The sequence below is a fragment of the Homo sapiens genome, chromosome 17 (assembly GCF_000001405.40).
Source record: "Homo sapiens chromosome 17, GRCh38.p14 Primary Assembly".
Classification (NCBI taxonomy): Eukaryota; Metazoa; Chordata; class Mammalia; order Primates; family Hominidae; genus Homo; species Homo sapiens.
The window spans coordinates 15,731,027-15,743,021 of record NC_000017.11 but is presented as its reverse complement, the minus strand read 5'-3'; the positions used below and the strand labels follow the sequence as shown (position 1 = coordinate 15,743,021).

Here is an 11,995-nt window from a genome sequence, read left to right as displayed (position 1 = left end):
ACACGGGACTTACTCCTGTGTATTTTGAATGATGCATGCACCATGGCTGTCAGTACCCGCGCGCCCTCCAAGATGAACACATCCCACAGTCTCAGGGTGAGCCCGAAGGATTTCTGTGGGGACAGCAAGTGTGGGAGAACCTGGCCTTTCCAAGCTGGGGCCAGTGGCCTGAGCAGAGCCCACTGGGGTTTCAGGCCCCTGGAGTGCTGGGGACCCCTCTCCATGGGATGAGACCCCCAAAAGACTGAGTCAGACAAGGTCCTGTAGCTCCTTGTGAGGGACTCATCTCAACTGCGCTGTGGCTTCTGGAAAGAGGGCTTCCTGAGGACTTGGGCTTCCCTGGGCCCTCGCAAGTCGGGTCCTGCCCCAGTCTGCCCATGAGGCTGGGCCTGAGCCCTGGCCTCTGCCATGGGATGCCCCCTCTTGGGCAGAGCCTGGCTTGTGAGCCTGTCCTCCTGGGGGAGCTGGACCCCTGAGCTGAGGAAGCTGGGCACTGCAGGGCAGGAGAGTCCCAGGGCTGGGGTCTCCCTGTGCCTCCTTACCCCATCAAGGAAACACCGGAGGAGCCTCGTCAGCATGGAACCCTCAATGCACAGCCCTTCCTTGCCCTGAAGGGAGGAGCACACGTGCTCAGGGCCCCCTGGGCTGCCCTGAAATCCTCCCACTTCCAGGCCCCTCTGCAGACCTTCCTTAATGGCACAACCCAGGGCGGTGGCCAGGGCTCCAACACCTGCCCCATGCACGGACGCCCGGTGGACACACTTCTTTTAGCCCTGCTCAGCTGCAGCTCGGCCCTGGTCCCAGCGCCTCTGCCTTTGCCAGGGCAGGAAAAGGAAACCCAACGCTGAATCCATGGGGAATCCCCATCCCAGGTCAGGCCGTGGCTGGGACTCAGCCTCTTGCCAGCCCCATGAGGGACTTGAGCCTCCCCTGGCCTATGGGGGCCAGGGCGTCTGGTTAGGAGCTGAGGGTGTCATCCACTCACCAGGTGTCTCATGATCTTTGGGAAGGACTTGTGCAGCACCTGCTCCTGGTGCGATAGGAGCCTCTCGAGCCAGGCAGTATTTGGGCTGTAGAATACTGAGAAGCCCGCGACCCATCACCCCATCAGACCCCACGCCCAAAATGTGGAGGCATCAGCTGGAAGAGCTGGGCAGGGCAGGGGACCCCAGACCCCGAGGCCTCCCTCCCTCCCATGTGGTGACCCCAGCATGTAGCCTCAGCCCTGGGGAGGAGGTCCCTGGCTGGAGGCACTGCCTAGCGGCCTCCTGGGTCCAGGTGCCAGGAGGGCAGCCTGCATTTGACACCACAAGGCAGGCGCCAGCGGGGAGAACAGGGTGGGAGCTGGGGGCTATGTGGCTATCTCTTGGATGTGGGGGTCAGGCTGGGGGACATGGGATGGGCAGACACTTCCATCTTGGCTTTGTTGGCCCATCTGTAGGGAGGGAGGGTGGCTGGGAGCACAGCCAGCTGGGAGGCAGGAAGACACTCAGGGAGGTGAGTGGTGCCTGCACAAAGTTGGGGCTGGCTTCGGACGACAGAGGGCAGCCAGGGGGAGGTATCCATGCCCTCTGATGTTAGGGATGAAAGCCGTCTGACTTGAGGTGAGGGGGTTCCTGTCCAGACCCAGGCTGCTGTAGGACCTCAGCAGGGACATCCTGGAGGCTCCAAACAAGCTGGGATACAAGGCAGGCACCTTGCCTGGAAGTCAGGGTCACCGGCCAGGGTGGCTGTCCCCTGGCATGGCTGTGTAAGGCCCCGGGGGCAGCTGTCCACCTACCCACAGGGAGTGCCTCTCACCAGCGAGCAACTGGGTAAGCGCCCAGAAAGCATCTTCCTCTGGCAGACACAGGAGGAGGATGGCAGTGATGCGGCTCAGGTCCCTGTGGTAGCCCACCTCCTGCAAGAGCCAGAGTCACCGTGGAAAGATGTCACCTAGGAGGACTGAGGCCACCTGGGAGGACTTATGTCACCAGAGGTGGCACAGGTCTTTGGGGACACCTGCCTCAGGCCCCAGGGGATTTGAGGTGCAGCCTCTGCACCCCTCCCCTGGCACTGGACATGAGGACTGAGCAGGTCACGCACAACTCAGTTGACAAGGAGCATGGGGGGACTCCTGCAGCAAGTGTCCAAGCTCACATGGCCCGAAAGGGCACAGTCAGGGATTGTTCATGCTCCCTCCCCTGGGCCAGGCTGGGGAGGCCACTGTGCCAGGCCTGGGGCAGCACCTGTGAACTGCACCTGCCACGAGGGCAGGCAGCGGGGCGCTGACCACCACACAAAAGGTCCTGCAACAGCCCAAGGGCTGCCTGCCGGACATAAGGGGTGGCTGGGTCCTCCATGTGGGCAGCTCATGCAGTCAGCTCAGCAGCTCTCCCTGCCTGGAATGGTCTGGAAAGTGGGGGCCAAGCAGGAACAGCCACCTGGGTGACCCCCCTCCCTATCTGCTATGCTCCTATGGGGTTCAGGCAAAGGGGAAATTGGATCCTTGCCAGGTTTCCAGTGAAGAAGAGGCTCCCCCAGGATGCAAACTCATTTCATGACAAGTGCCTGGCCCATCAGGCACCTCAGCAACTTGTCAAACCTGTCTCCTACAAGGACCATCCTGTGTGGGACCCTGCCAAGCTCCTAGGCTTTGGGGCAACACCAGGAGGGGAAGGTCGTTTCTTCATCTGAGACGTGGTGATTGGGTCCATGTGACACCAGGAGTCTGGGCTTCAGCCCTTTTCTGCCAGCAGCGAGCTGAAGTCCTGCCTACTACGTCCTGGTGGACAAACACTGAATTTTCAAGAAGTTGCAACACCCCCAAGAGACACCCATGCCTGTGAATATGGGCACATGTCCCAGGAATATCGCTGCCCGGGAATACTCACAGGGTTATATGCAGAATAGGCCACGAGGATGTCACATAATTCCTGCTGCCTAGAAAAGAGGGGAAAGAGGGTTTTTTTTTTGTGTGTGTGCAGACGCTGTCAATTTCATTTTGTCTACAAACCCAAATAACGAACACAATTCTGGGTTCAGATGATCCCCCCAAATAAGCAGTGAGCTCTTTAGGACACCTGAGTTTTTAGGAATTTTTTTTCAGTAAAATCCACATTCCTTGCAATGCAATGTCGTAGGTGTACAGTTGGATCAGTGATCATTTTTCACTCTGGTTGATTTTTTCTTCCCCTTTTTCTCAGTTTGCACACACAGAAGTCCAGTCTTTGGGACGTGCAGTTCCACGGTTCTGAACTAATGTGCAGAGCCTCCCGTCCACCACTGCAGCCCCTCCCAGAGCGGCTCCTTCATCTTCCAAGTCCCCAGCACGTCCCCTTTGCAGCCAACGTCTCCCGGCTCTGTCAGCCCCTGGCCATCCTGATCTGTTCTCTGTCTCTATGGTTTGCCCTTTCCCAGAATGGCCAATGAATTGGAATCCCATGGTGGTAGCCTGTTGGGTCTGGCGTCATTCCCTCAGCAATACTCATCTAAGATCCACCCATGTTCCTGCGGGCATTGGGGGTTCGTTCCTTTTCCTCACTGAGTCGCCTCTGTCTGAAGAGTGGAACCCCCTTCCTCCCTAGTTCCCATGTTGAAGATCATCTCCGTAGCCTCCGGGTGTGAGTTACAATCAATCAAGCGGTGAACGTCACATGCGGGTTTTACTTGGACGTCAGTTTTCAAATCAGTGTGGCCAATATCTGTCACACTTTGGGGATGTGTGGTACGAGGCCACTGAGCTTTGTGAGCCACAGCCCATGTGACTTACAAAATGGCTGTGCCCTGTCACGTTCCCACCAGCCATGGATGAGAGTTTCCGGGGCCCCGCATCCTTTCTAGTATTTTGGGCAGTCAGTGTTGCCTGGGAAGGCTCCCAAGCCCTGCCATCGTGCCACCTTCCCATGGGTCCCTATCCTGGATAGTTGTGGGTCATGGAGAGCACTTTTCACCATCTGCATGACTCTTTTTTTTTCTGCCTTCCGTCTCCTTGGGAGTCACCTGGGTTCTGGCCCTACATGTCCCAGCCCGGCCCAGAGCTTAGAGCCGGGAGATGCTCAGTCCATGGTGCCGGCTGCTCCCTGGGCCAGGAGAGCCCTTGGTGGCTCTGTCACCTCTCCTGGGTGACCCTGGCCTCTGCCCTGGGGACAACCTCATTCCTCTGGATTGCCCCATCTTCCCTGGGACCCCTGCAAGCCCCATTGGCCTTACTTGACTCCGAATCTTTGTATGAACATCATGTGTTTCTGCAGGGTGTGGCTGACATCTAGCTGGATGCAGTGGATGATTCTGGAGGACCTCTTGCCCTTCTCCTTCATGACCTGTAGGGCAGGGCCAAGAGGAGGAAGCAGCCTCAGAACAGACAAAAGACTCCCTGCCCCAAACGGCAGTCATCCCACAGTCAGCACTTCTGGAAGGAAGGAAGGAAGGTTTCCTTCTGCAGAAAGCTCCTTTTTACCTTGTTTCTGACACCAGGGAGGGTCAGCAGAGCCCAGCGCACCTGTGGTGCCTGAGTTACCATCTATGCCCAGGATGTGCGTCTGACCACAGCCCCCACTCCCAACCCAGGCTCAACGTTCCCTCCAGCTGGAGTCCTGGGCTCCTGATACAGTCTAGCTTGTTTGTACTCCTAGCTGAGTGTGGGAGGGACTTACCTTATATTTGCCTGGGTTCTGGGACTTGATTCTGTCAATATCTAGCAAAAGTGACCACGCCCGGCCCCGTACCGCCAGGGGAATGACTTTGTATACTCTTTGAGACAGCTACAGACAGAAGAACACTCCAGTGAGAAAGGACATGGGGCGACCCCGCAGAGCAAAGCTGGCGAACAGGCCTGCAGTCCTATGGCAAGGATGGGGTACCACCCACCCACTGAGAGGCAGACGGTGCCAGGTCACAACCATGGGTGCCTGTCTCCTGGCTCTGCAGAGAGCAGTCACGCGGGCCACTTCCTCCCCATGTTACCTTCTTGGTGCTCCTATATTTTGTCCAGTCTGCAAGCATCTTTTGCCACTTGTTGGTACGTTTACTTTCCTTGCGTCTTTGCTGTCAAATGAGCCATGATGGAGTTAGCGGAGCTGCCAGGCGTCTGACAGTGGCCCGTGGATGCTGGGTCCAGGGCTTTGGGGCCCTGAAGGGACCCAACTTGAAGAAGCCAGGAAAGGGCAGGCCCCAGGGGCTGAGACCCTCTGAAGGAACTGGAGCTGGTAGTCTGGAATGGTGATGCCATGACATGCCATCCTCAGGCCATAAATGCCCCAAGTTTTGGTCAGGTCCAGCCTTCAGCTGGGGTCTTGGTTCAAACAGGCAGTGGACTCTGAGCCAGGACTGCAGTTCTTGGTTTGGGTTTTGGTCAAGTCCTCATGGGAACAGAGTCCAGCAGGAAAGGCCACCCCTCCCAGTGACAGCCGTGGCCCACTCACCACCACACAGGCCCACAGGCCACCCCCTCTGCCTTACCGACCACCCGATTCCCAGTCCCTGAAGCAGCCTCCCACGCAGCAGGCACAGGCTCTTACCTTCACCTCCAGGGCACTGACGTGGGGCAGCTCCATCTCACTGTAAGGCAACCCAGGCAGAGCTGAGGACCTGCCCAGGCCAGGAGCCATCCCTCTCCCTGAGAGGGCCCCAGGGAAGGACCAGCCTACCCCCATCCACCCTAAGTCTCAGCCTGGGACAAGGCACAGAGAAGGAAGGCAAGGGCCTCCCTGCGGATCTGACACTAGCAAGGCACTGGGACCTTGGAGAAGAAGAAGCTCAAAGCTGGCCCTGGGTGGGGGGGACACTTGAAGCCCGTGGGGTGCCTTGGGCTGCACAATGGTGCTGCTCCACCTGGGCTGGAGGTGACACCCTCTGTGGACGCTAAGAAAGTCCAGTTCTGAGATGGGATGGGTGCCACCCAGGGTGGGTGGCCAAGCCCTGACTAACAGCAGTACCTCAGGAGTGACCACATCACCCACCAGAGTCCAGGGAGCCTGGCCTGAGAGCTGCCCAGTGCCCTGAGGATGCACCTGGAGCCCATCCCATCTGACACTCCCCATGGGCCTTGCAAGGTCTGACCTCCCAGCGTGCACCTGCCTCTCCCTGCATCCTGGCCGCTCACCCTGCCTGCTCCCCATCTTCCCCCATCCTGCCCAGCCCAGACACTATGACCCTCTCTCCGGCCACCCTGGCCCTTCTGTGACCCTTGTCCTTTCAGAACCTCTGAGTGAGACCTCCCAGATCCGTCCACACCCACGCCTTGGCCACTCTCTGACTGGGCTGCCCAGCACTGCTGGGGAGACACCCAGGGCAGCAAGGATGACCAAGGGCCCTGCAGGCAGTGGGGCTGGCCCCAGCACTCCTGCTCCAGCCTCAGCTGGCTCTCAGGGTCATTGGCCTTCAGCCCTCAGCCTCCTCCCAGCCACTGCAAAAACCAGGACATGGGATGCTTGGCTGTCCTCCCCTACTGTCCTGCCTGCCCTGACTTGGCCCCTCCATCCACCCTGCGCAGTGTTGATTGAGCCAGCGGGAAGCAGAATCTCTGGAGGGCCATGCAGAGCCTTGGGGACTGACCAAGTTCCCCCACTGAGGGGTCCCAGGTGAGCCACTGTTCCCTGCCCACCCCATCTGTTGTCCTCCCCAGGCTGTCAGCTCCACCCGGGTCTGGCTTGGTTCAGGTGCCTTCCAGAAGTGGCAGGTCTCAGGGGCTCACCCTGCCCCCCTCCCCCAGGCTCCTCCCTCTCTCCATCCTGTGAGTCCTGAGGGGCCGGCTTCAGGCTGGGCTCCCATTACCAGGCCCAGGTCCCTTCCCTGCACCACTCCCGGGGCCTTCAGTTGCATGCTCTGTTGTCCCCCTGGCCTCAGTGAGAAGCCCAGGCCAGGGCCCTGCCCTTCTTCCACAACCTACCAGGGCCAGGGCCAAGGCCCTCACTGTCCCTATGCCCCTTCCTCATGGCTGAGCCCCCTGAGCCCTCAGAGATCTGCTATACAACTGCCCAGAGGCCAGGCCAGGTGCCCTCTTGCCCTGTGGCCACAACCCTCAGATCTCACCAAGGCAGGCCCCAAGGGAACAGGGCCAGATCCTCAGGCTGCCCCTCCTCTCCAGCTTACTTGGAGACCACAGTGCTGAGAGCCCACGGGCCTGCTCTAGTCCCCTCTCTGTCCCTACCCCCTCTCCTGAGCTCCCTAAATGTGTCATGAGGCTGTGCCCTAACCCTGACCACAGGCTGGACCGACAGGAGAGCCTGGGAGGAGTTCTGACCCTGGAGAGGAGGTTGGCCCAGCCAGGGAGACATGTCCTGCTTCAGAGAGGCCTTTCTAAAAACAAAACCCATCCCTGAGGTGAGATTGGTGGCTGGGGTCGGGGGGACAGAGGACTTACTGCACAATCCCGAGGTTATTGGTGTATTTTCTGACATCAACCTGCTCATGCCCCAAGTCCACTGCTGCCCCAGCTCGGTGTCCCTGAAACCCAGAGGAGGCCAGGATAGTGGGGGTAAGGTGAGAGGTGTGGGAGGCCCAGGGAGGTGGGCAGCCCCTCCCCACCCTGTGATCTTAGGAAGCCCAGGACCCTGTGACCAGGGCACAGCGGGAGAGGCGAGGCCCTGCTTCCCTTGAGGGAGCGGCCCAACTTGTACCTGCTCATACTTAGTAATGATGATATTGCCTTGCCCCTGGGCAGGCAGGTTATACGGGTCCCCATCCATCTCCATCCTGCAAGACAAAGTCATCCCAAGGCTCTCCCGCACCCAAGAGCTCCAGAGAACAGCCAAACCACACGCACTGCACTCCCAGACACACTCCAGTCTGGTGAGCCCCATTCCACTACCCCTCCCAGATGACAGGGGCCAGACTCAGTGGTCCCACCCCTGACTAGATCTCTGAAGTCCTTGCCTCCAACCAGTGGTGGGCTCCTTCCTGAGGATTTGAGCACACGGGAACCTGGACAGAGAGGCCTATTGTCCCTGAACACCCCAAGGCAGACACACACCTGCCCTGGCAGGACAAACGGCGTCCACTTGCTGAGGGTGAAGTCCCCACGATGGGCTGTTCTGGGCACCTGGAGGCAGGTGGAGTCAGGGACTGGATGTCTCTATAGGATCGTTCAGGGACCAGGAATATAATCAGTTTTCTGTAGGAAGCAAGACATCTGGTGACTGCTCCGTTCTACCCCAATTCTCACTCACTCTGGCCAGTGAAGCCGCTTCAGGAACAACGCCAGCCAAGCAGTTTGGTTTGGGGAAAAGATGATCTATTGACTCCAGAGCAGCCTCTGTGCTCATGGAGACCCCGTCGCAGGTCGAGGACGGTGGACACCACAATTCCCAGCTGTCAATACAGGAGGGGACTTTGTTTTCCTGGGTCACCAAGAAAGAACAAGAGAACGCTGGGGCCTTAGTCCTAGAGAACACCTGGGGGAACCGTCCCCCCCCAGGAATACTCGGGGCAAACGGAAGGCAAGGCCTCTAGAGGACCAGACAGAGAGAATGGGACGCTGCAGGAGGGTTCCAGTCCCCAAGGCTCTTTGACCAGGAGAGACGATTGTCACCCTCCAGGCAGCCCTCCAGGGCTCCTTCATTTTCCACAACTGCCTGAGGGCAGAGGGCTCCCCACCGCACTCCTAGATGAAGGACCCCATGTGTCCAGTGGGTCCCACAGCAACCATCAGTGATCGCACTTTAGGTCTGAGTTGGTGAGACCTCCTCCTGTGGGGACCAAGCTTAGGGCACAGACTTGGACCAAGAATTTCACCCTCCACCCCACCCACAGGGGCTCTGTCCCAGTGGCTCTTCCAGGACCAGACCCTGCCTCATTGAATTCCAGAACTCAAGGAAGATTTGGAATCTAGGGTAGAGAGGCCTCAGCGGTCAAAGCTCAAGTCCAGCATGGCAAAGGGTAGGGCTGAGTGCACGGCCCGGGTCACATCTGGGTCTCTGGGCCAGTCACCGCCTCTCTGACTCTACACATCTCACCTGTGGAATGGCTACATTTGGGGACAGCACCCATCGCCACAGAGTTTCTGTGAGGACAAAGGAGAGGATGGTCCACGCCGTCAGTGCAGAACATGCACCCGGTGAGTGCTCAGGGGTGACCCTCCTCGGCATCTGCCCAGAGGTCACTCACCTGAGTCTGCTCAGGCTGCTGTGTCTCTCACTTAGAAAAGTCGTTCATGCACCACAGAACCAGACACCTGTGTGCGTCTTATGTGCAAGTGCTGCACAACACAGAGGTGAGTGGGTGGGCAGGTGGGCGGTCACTCAGCACCAGTGACATTTTGAGGTCATGGCACCCATCATAATGGGCCATTGCCCAGGTCAAGTGGGCCCAGAGTCGGTGTCCTCCAGCCCCTAAGGTGTCAAAATGTGTTTGTGCAGGTGAGCATGTACGTTTATGTGGGTGAACATGTGTGTGCACGAGCAGCGTCTCTGGCCAGGGCTGGCTGTCCCACTTACATGTGCACCCAAGTGCTCATCAAGTCTTAATCAGCGTCACCTTCCCTTGAGGCCTGTGGCCAGCATCAGAGCATCCATGGGTCCTCCCCAACCTCAGAACTCCCCACACGGGGCAGTCCTGAAGATGCAGATGGGGGCTAGGGGGTAGAGGGCACAGGACAGGGCCCCTCATTAGGGGGAACTCAGCTAGACTGTAAAATGCTGGGTGTGAGTGGCAAGGTCGGATTCCACACATTTTTTCACCTCCTCCTCCCAGTAGCCTTCCAGGGTGCCATGACTCATTTCTGCTATGGATGGAGGCAAGGAGGCTCTAAGGACAAACCCCGTGCCTGAGGTCACCAAGCAACCATCTGGCCAGGCCCCCACTAACCAGACCCCTGCCGGCCAGGCTTTCACTGACCGTTTTCCCAGTGACCAGGCCTTCTGACTAGGTCCTCACTGATCAGGCCCCTGATGACCAGGCTCCAACTGACCATGTCCCCACTGACCAGTTTTTCACTGACTAAGCCCCAGTGGCCAAGCCTCTGCTGACCAGGCCCCTGATGACCAATTCCCCACTGACCATGTCCTCGCTGACCAGTCCCCCAGTGACCAGGCCTTCCTGACCAGGTCCCCACTGTCCAAGTCCTCCCTGCCCAGGCCCCAGAGCAGCAGTGTTCAAGGTCCTCTACCACAACTGCCCACAGGCGGAGGGCTCCCTACTCCCAGACAAGGGACCCCATGTGTCCACTGGGTCCCACGGAGACCCTCAGTGACCGCACGTGAAGTCTGAGTTGGTGAGACCTCCTCCTGCAGACACCCAGCTTAGGGCACAGACTTGGACCGAGCACCACCTCCCTCCACCACACCCATAGGAGTTCCATCCCAGTGGCTCTTTCAGGGCCAGACTCTGCCCCATCAGGGGCCAGAAAACCCTGGGCAGATTTGGAATCTAGGGCCACAGAGACCAGGGCATGCACAGGGCAGGGCTGAGAGCACAGCCCAGGATCACATCTGGGTCTCTTGGCCAGTCACCTCCTCTCTGACCCTAGACATCTCACTTGTGGAATGGGTACATTCGGGGACAGCACCCACCCCACAGAGTCCACCAGGTCAGTGCAGAACAGGCACCTGGTGAGTGCTCAGGGATGACCCTCCTCGGCACCTGCCCAGAGGCTAGCCCTGCCCACCAGGTAATGACTGTACCCAGGTCAGCAGGGAAGGAACAGAGCAGGTCACACTCACCTGAGTCAGTTGAGTCAGTTGTGTCTCTCACTTAGCAAAACTTCCTTTTCTCAGAACCAGACACCTCTATGTCTTATCTCTAAGAGCTCCAGACATAGAGACGGCAAGTGGACAGGTGGGCGAGTGCTCAGCACCAGTGACATTGTGAGGTCATGACACCCATCACAATGGGCCCCTGCCTGGGTCAGCCGGGACCAGAGCCAGCACCCTCCACCCCTTGAAGTGTCAACGTGCGTGTGTGCAGTGTTTGTGCATGTAAGCATGCACGTGTATGTGGGTGAACCCATGTGTGCATGCGTTTGTCACTGCTCTGGCTAGGCCCGGCTGCCCCACTCATATGTGCACCCAGGACACTGGGTCACCCTTGTCACTTTCTCCCCCCTCGGGACCCATGGCCATCATCAGAGCATCCACGGGTGCTCCCTAAACTCAGACCTCCCCATCCAGGGCATTCCTGGGATTGCAGATGGAAGATAGGGGGCAGAAGGTTGAGGGTTGGGGGCAAAAGGCAAAGGGCAGGTCCCCTCCCTAGCAGGGGACTCAGCTAGGCTGTAAAGTGCTAGATCTGTTTGGCAGGGCTGGATTCCACACACCTGCTCACCTCCTCTTCCCAGCAGCCCTCCGGAGTGCCATGACTCATTCCCACTACAGATGGCGGCAAGGAGGCTCCAAGGACAAACCCTGCCTGAAGTCACCTAGCCGCCACCTGGCCAGGCTTCTGCCAGCCAGACCCCCACTGACCAGGCCCCCACTGACCAGGCCTTCACTGACCACGTTCCCACTGACCCCACTGAGCAGAACCCTGAGCCGCGGTGCTCAATGTCCCCTGCCAATGACCCCCCTCAGTCCACAGACCTCCCCTCCCCGCATCAGCACCCACAGGCCATCCCCTGGGGGTCTTCTCGGGTCAAGGCCCCCACTCCAGGACACAGGGAGGGACAGTCGGCCTCAGGCTCTGGGTGCCCAGCTTCATGCTCGCCCCCAAAAGCCCTCTGTGCTCACCTCAAAGGGGGCAGTGAGGTGGCCTGGCACTGCCTGGACATGATGTCTCGGCCTATTCCTGAGCCGCAGAGCCAGAGGAACGGGGGGACGTTTGTCAGACCAGGCACCCCGTTTTGCTGGGTCTCCCAGGGTTCTTCCTGCGGAGGCTGGATCCAGAGGCGCAGCACCGAGGCTGCAGGGTGACCGGCCCAGAACCCTCGAGACTGGGCTGGGGACCACATGAGAACTGTCCCCAGATGGCCAGAAGACCCTTTGCTAATTTCCCGGTACCTCATTTCCCACCAGCTACCCTTGCCCCACCAGGAATCCCCTTCTGGCAGAGTCAATGAGGAGAGGAAGATGGTCACAGAATCCAT

General features: G+C 58.9%; 1 protein-coding gene and 2 long non-coding RNA genes across 4 annotated transcripts in view; 1 reads left to right on the top strand and 2 right to left on the bottom strand.

Annotated features, from left to right (window-relative positions):
• The window catches only part of TBC1D26 (TBC1 domain family member 26), a 12,508-nt gene extending 1,763 nt beyond the window's left edge, over positions 1-10,745 (bottom strand). Inside the window, 13 exon segments of one of the 2 annotated variants that reach the window (NM_178571.4) lie at positions 14-113; positions 543-608; positions 986-1,080; positions 1,781-1,900; positions 2,874-2,922; positions 4,192-4,301; positions 4,635-4,742; positions 4,945-5,025; positions 5,499-5,538; positions 7,343-7,425; positions 7,599-7,674; positions 7,952-8,092; positions 10,638-10,745. In NM_178571.4, the coding sequence (NP_848666.2) occupies positions 994-1,080; positions 1,781-1,900; positions 2,874-2,922; positions 4,192-4,301; positions 4,635-4,742; positions 4,945-5,025; positions 5,499-5,538; positions 7,343-7,425; positions 7,599-7,673 (753 nt within the window). In that variant the 5' untranslated portion in view covers position 7,674; positions 7,952-8,092; positions 10,638-10,745 and the 3' untranslated portion in view covers positions 14-113; positions 543-608; positions 986-993. 2 annotated transcript variants of the gene reach the window in all.
• Positions 1-11,995, bottom strand: part of ZNF286A-TBC1D26 (ZNF286A-TBC1D26 readthrough (NMD candidate)) — a 46,414-nt gene that overhangs the window by 3,144 nt on the left and 31,275 nt on the right. Inside the window, exons 7-20 of the long non-coding RNA NR_171000.1 lie at positions 8,934-8,980; positions 8,148-8,289; positions 7,952-8,053; positions 7,599-7,674; positions 7,343-7,425; positions 5,499-5,538; positions 4,945-5,025; positions 4,635-4,742; positions 4,192-4,301; positions 2,874-2,922; positions 1,801-1,900; positions 986-1,080; positions 543-608; positions 14-113 (exon numbers count right to left, since the gene is read on the bottom strand). This is a non-coding gene — a long non-coding RNA (ZNF286A-TBC1D26 readthrough (NMD candidate)). The remainder of the gene's footprint in view (positions 1-13; positions 114-542; positions 609-985; positions 1,081-1,800; positions 1,901-2,873; positions 2,923-4,191; positions 4,302-4,634; positions 4,743-4,944; positions 5,026-5,498; positions 5,539-7,342; positions 7,426-7,598; positions 7,675-7,951; positions 8,054-8,147; positions 8,290-8,933; positions 8,981-11,995) is intronic.
• The window catches only part of TBC1D26-AS1 (TBC1D26 antisense RNA 1), a 12,725-nt gene extending 730 nt beyond the window's left edge, over positions 1-11,995 (top strand). The window contains exons 2-5 of the long non-coding RNA XR_001753084.3: positions 6,473-6,560; positions 7,187-7,302; positions 8,099-9,034; positions 11,925-11,995. This is a non-coding gene — a long non-coding RNA (TBC1D26 antisense RNA 1). The remainder of the gene's footprint in view (positions 1-6,472; positions 6,561-7,186; positions 7,303-8,098; positions 9,035-11,924) is intronic.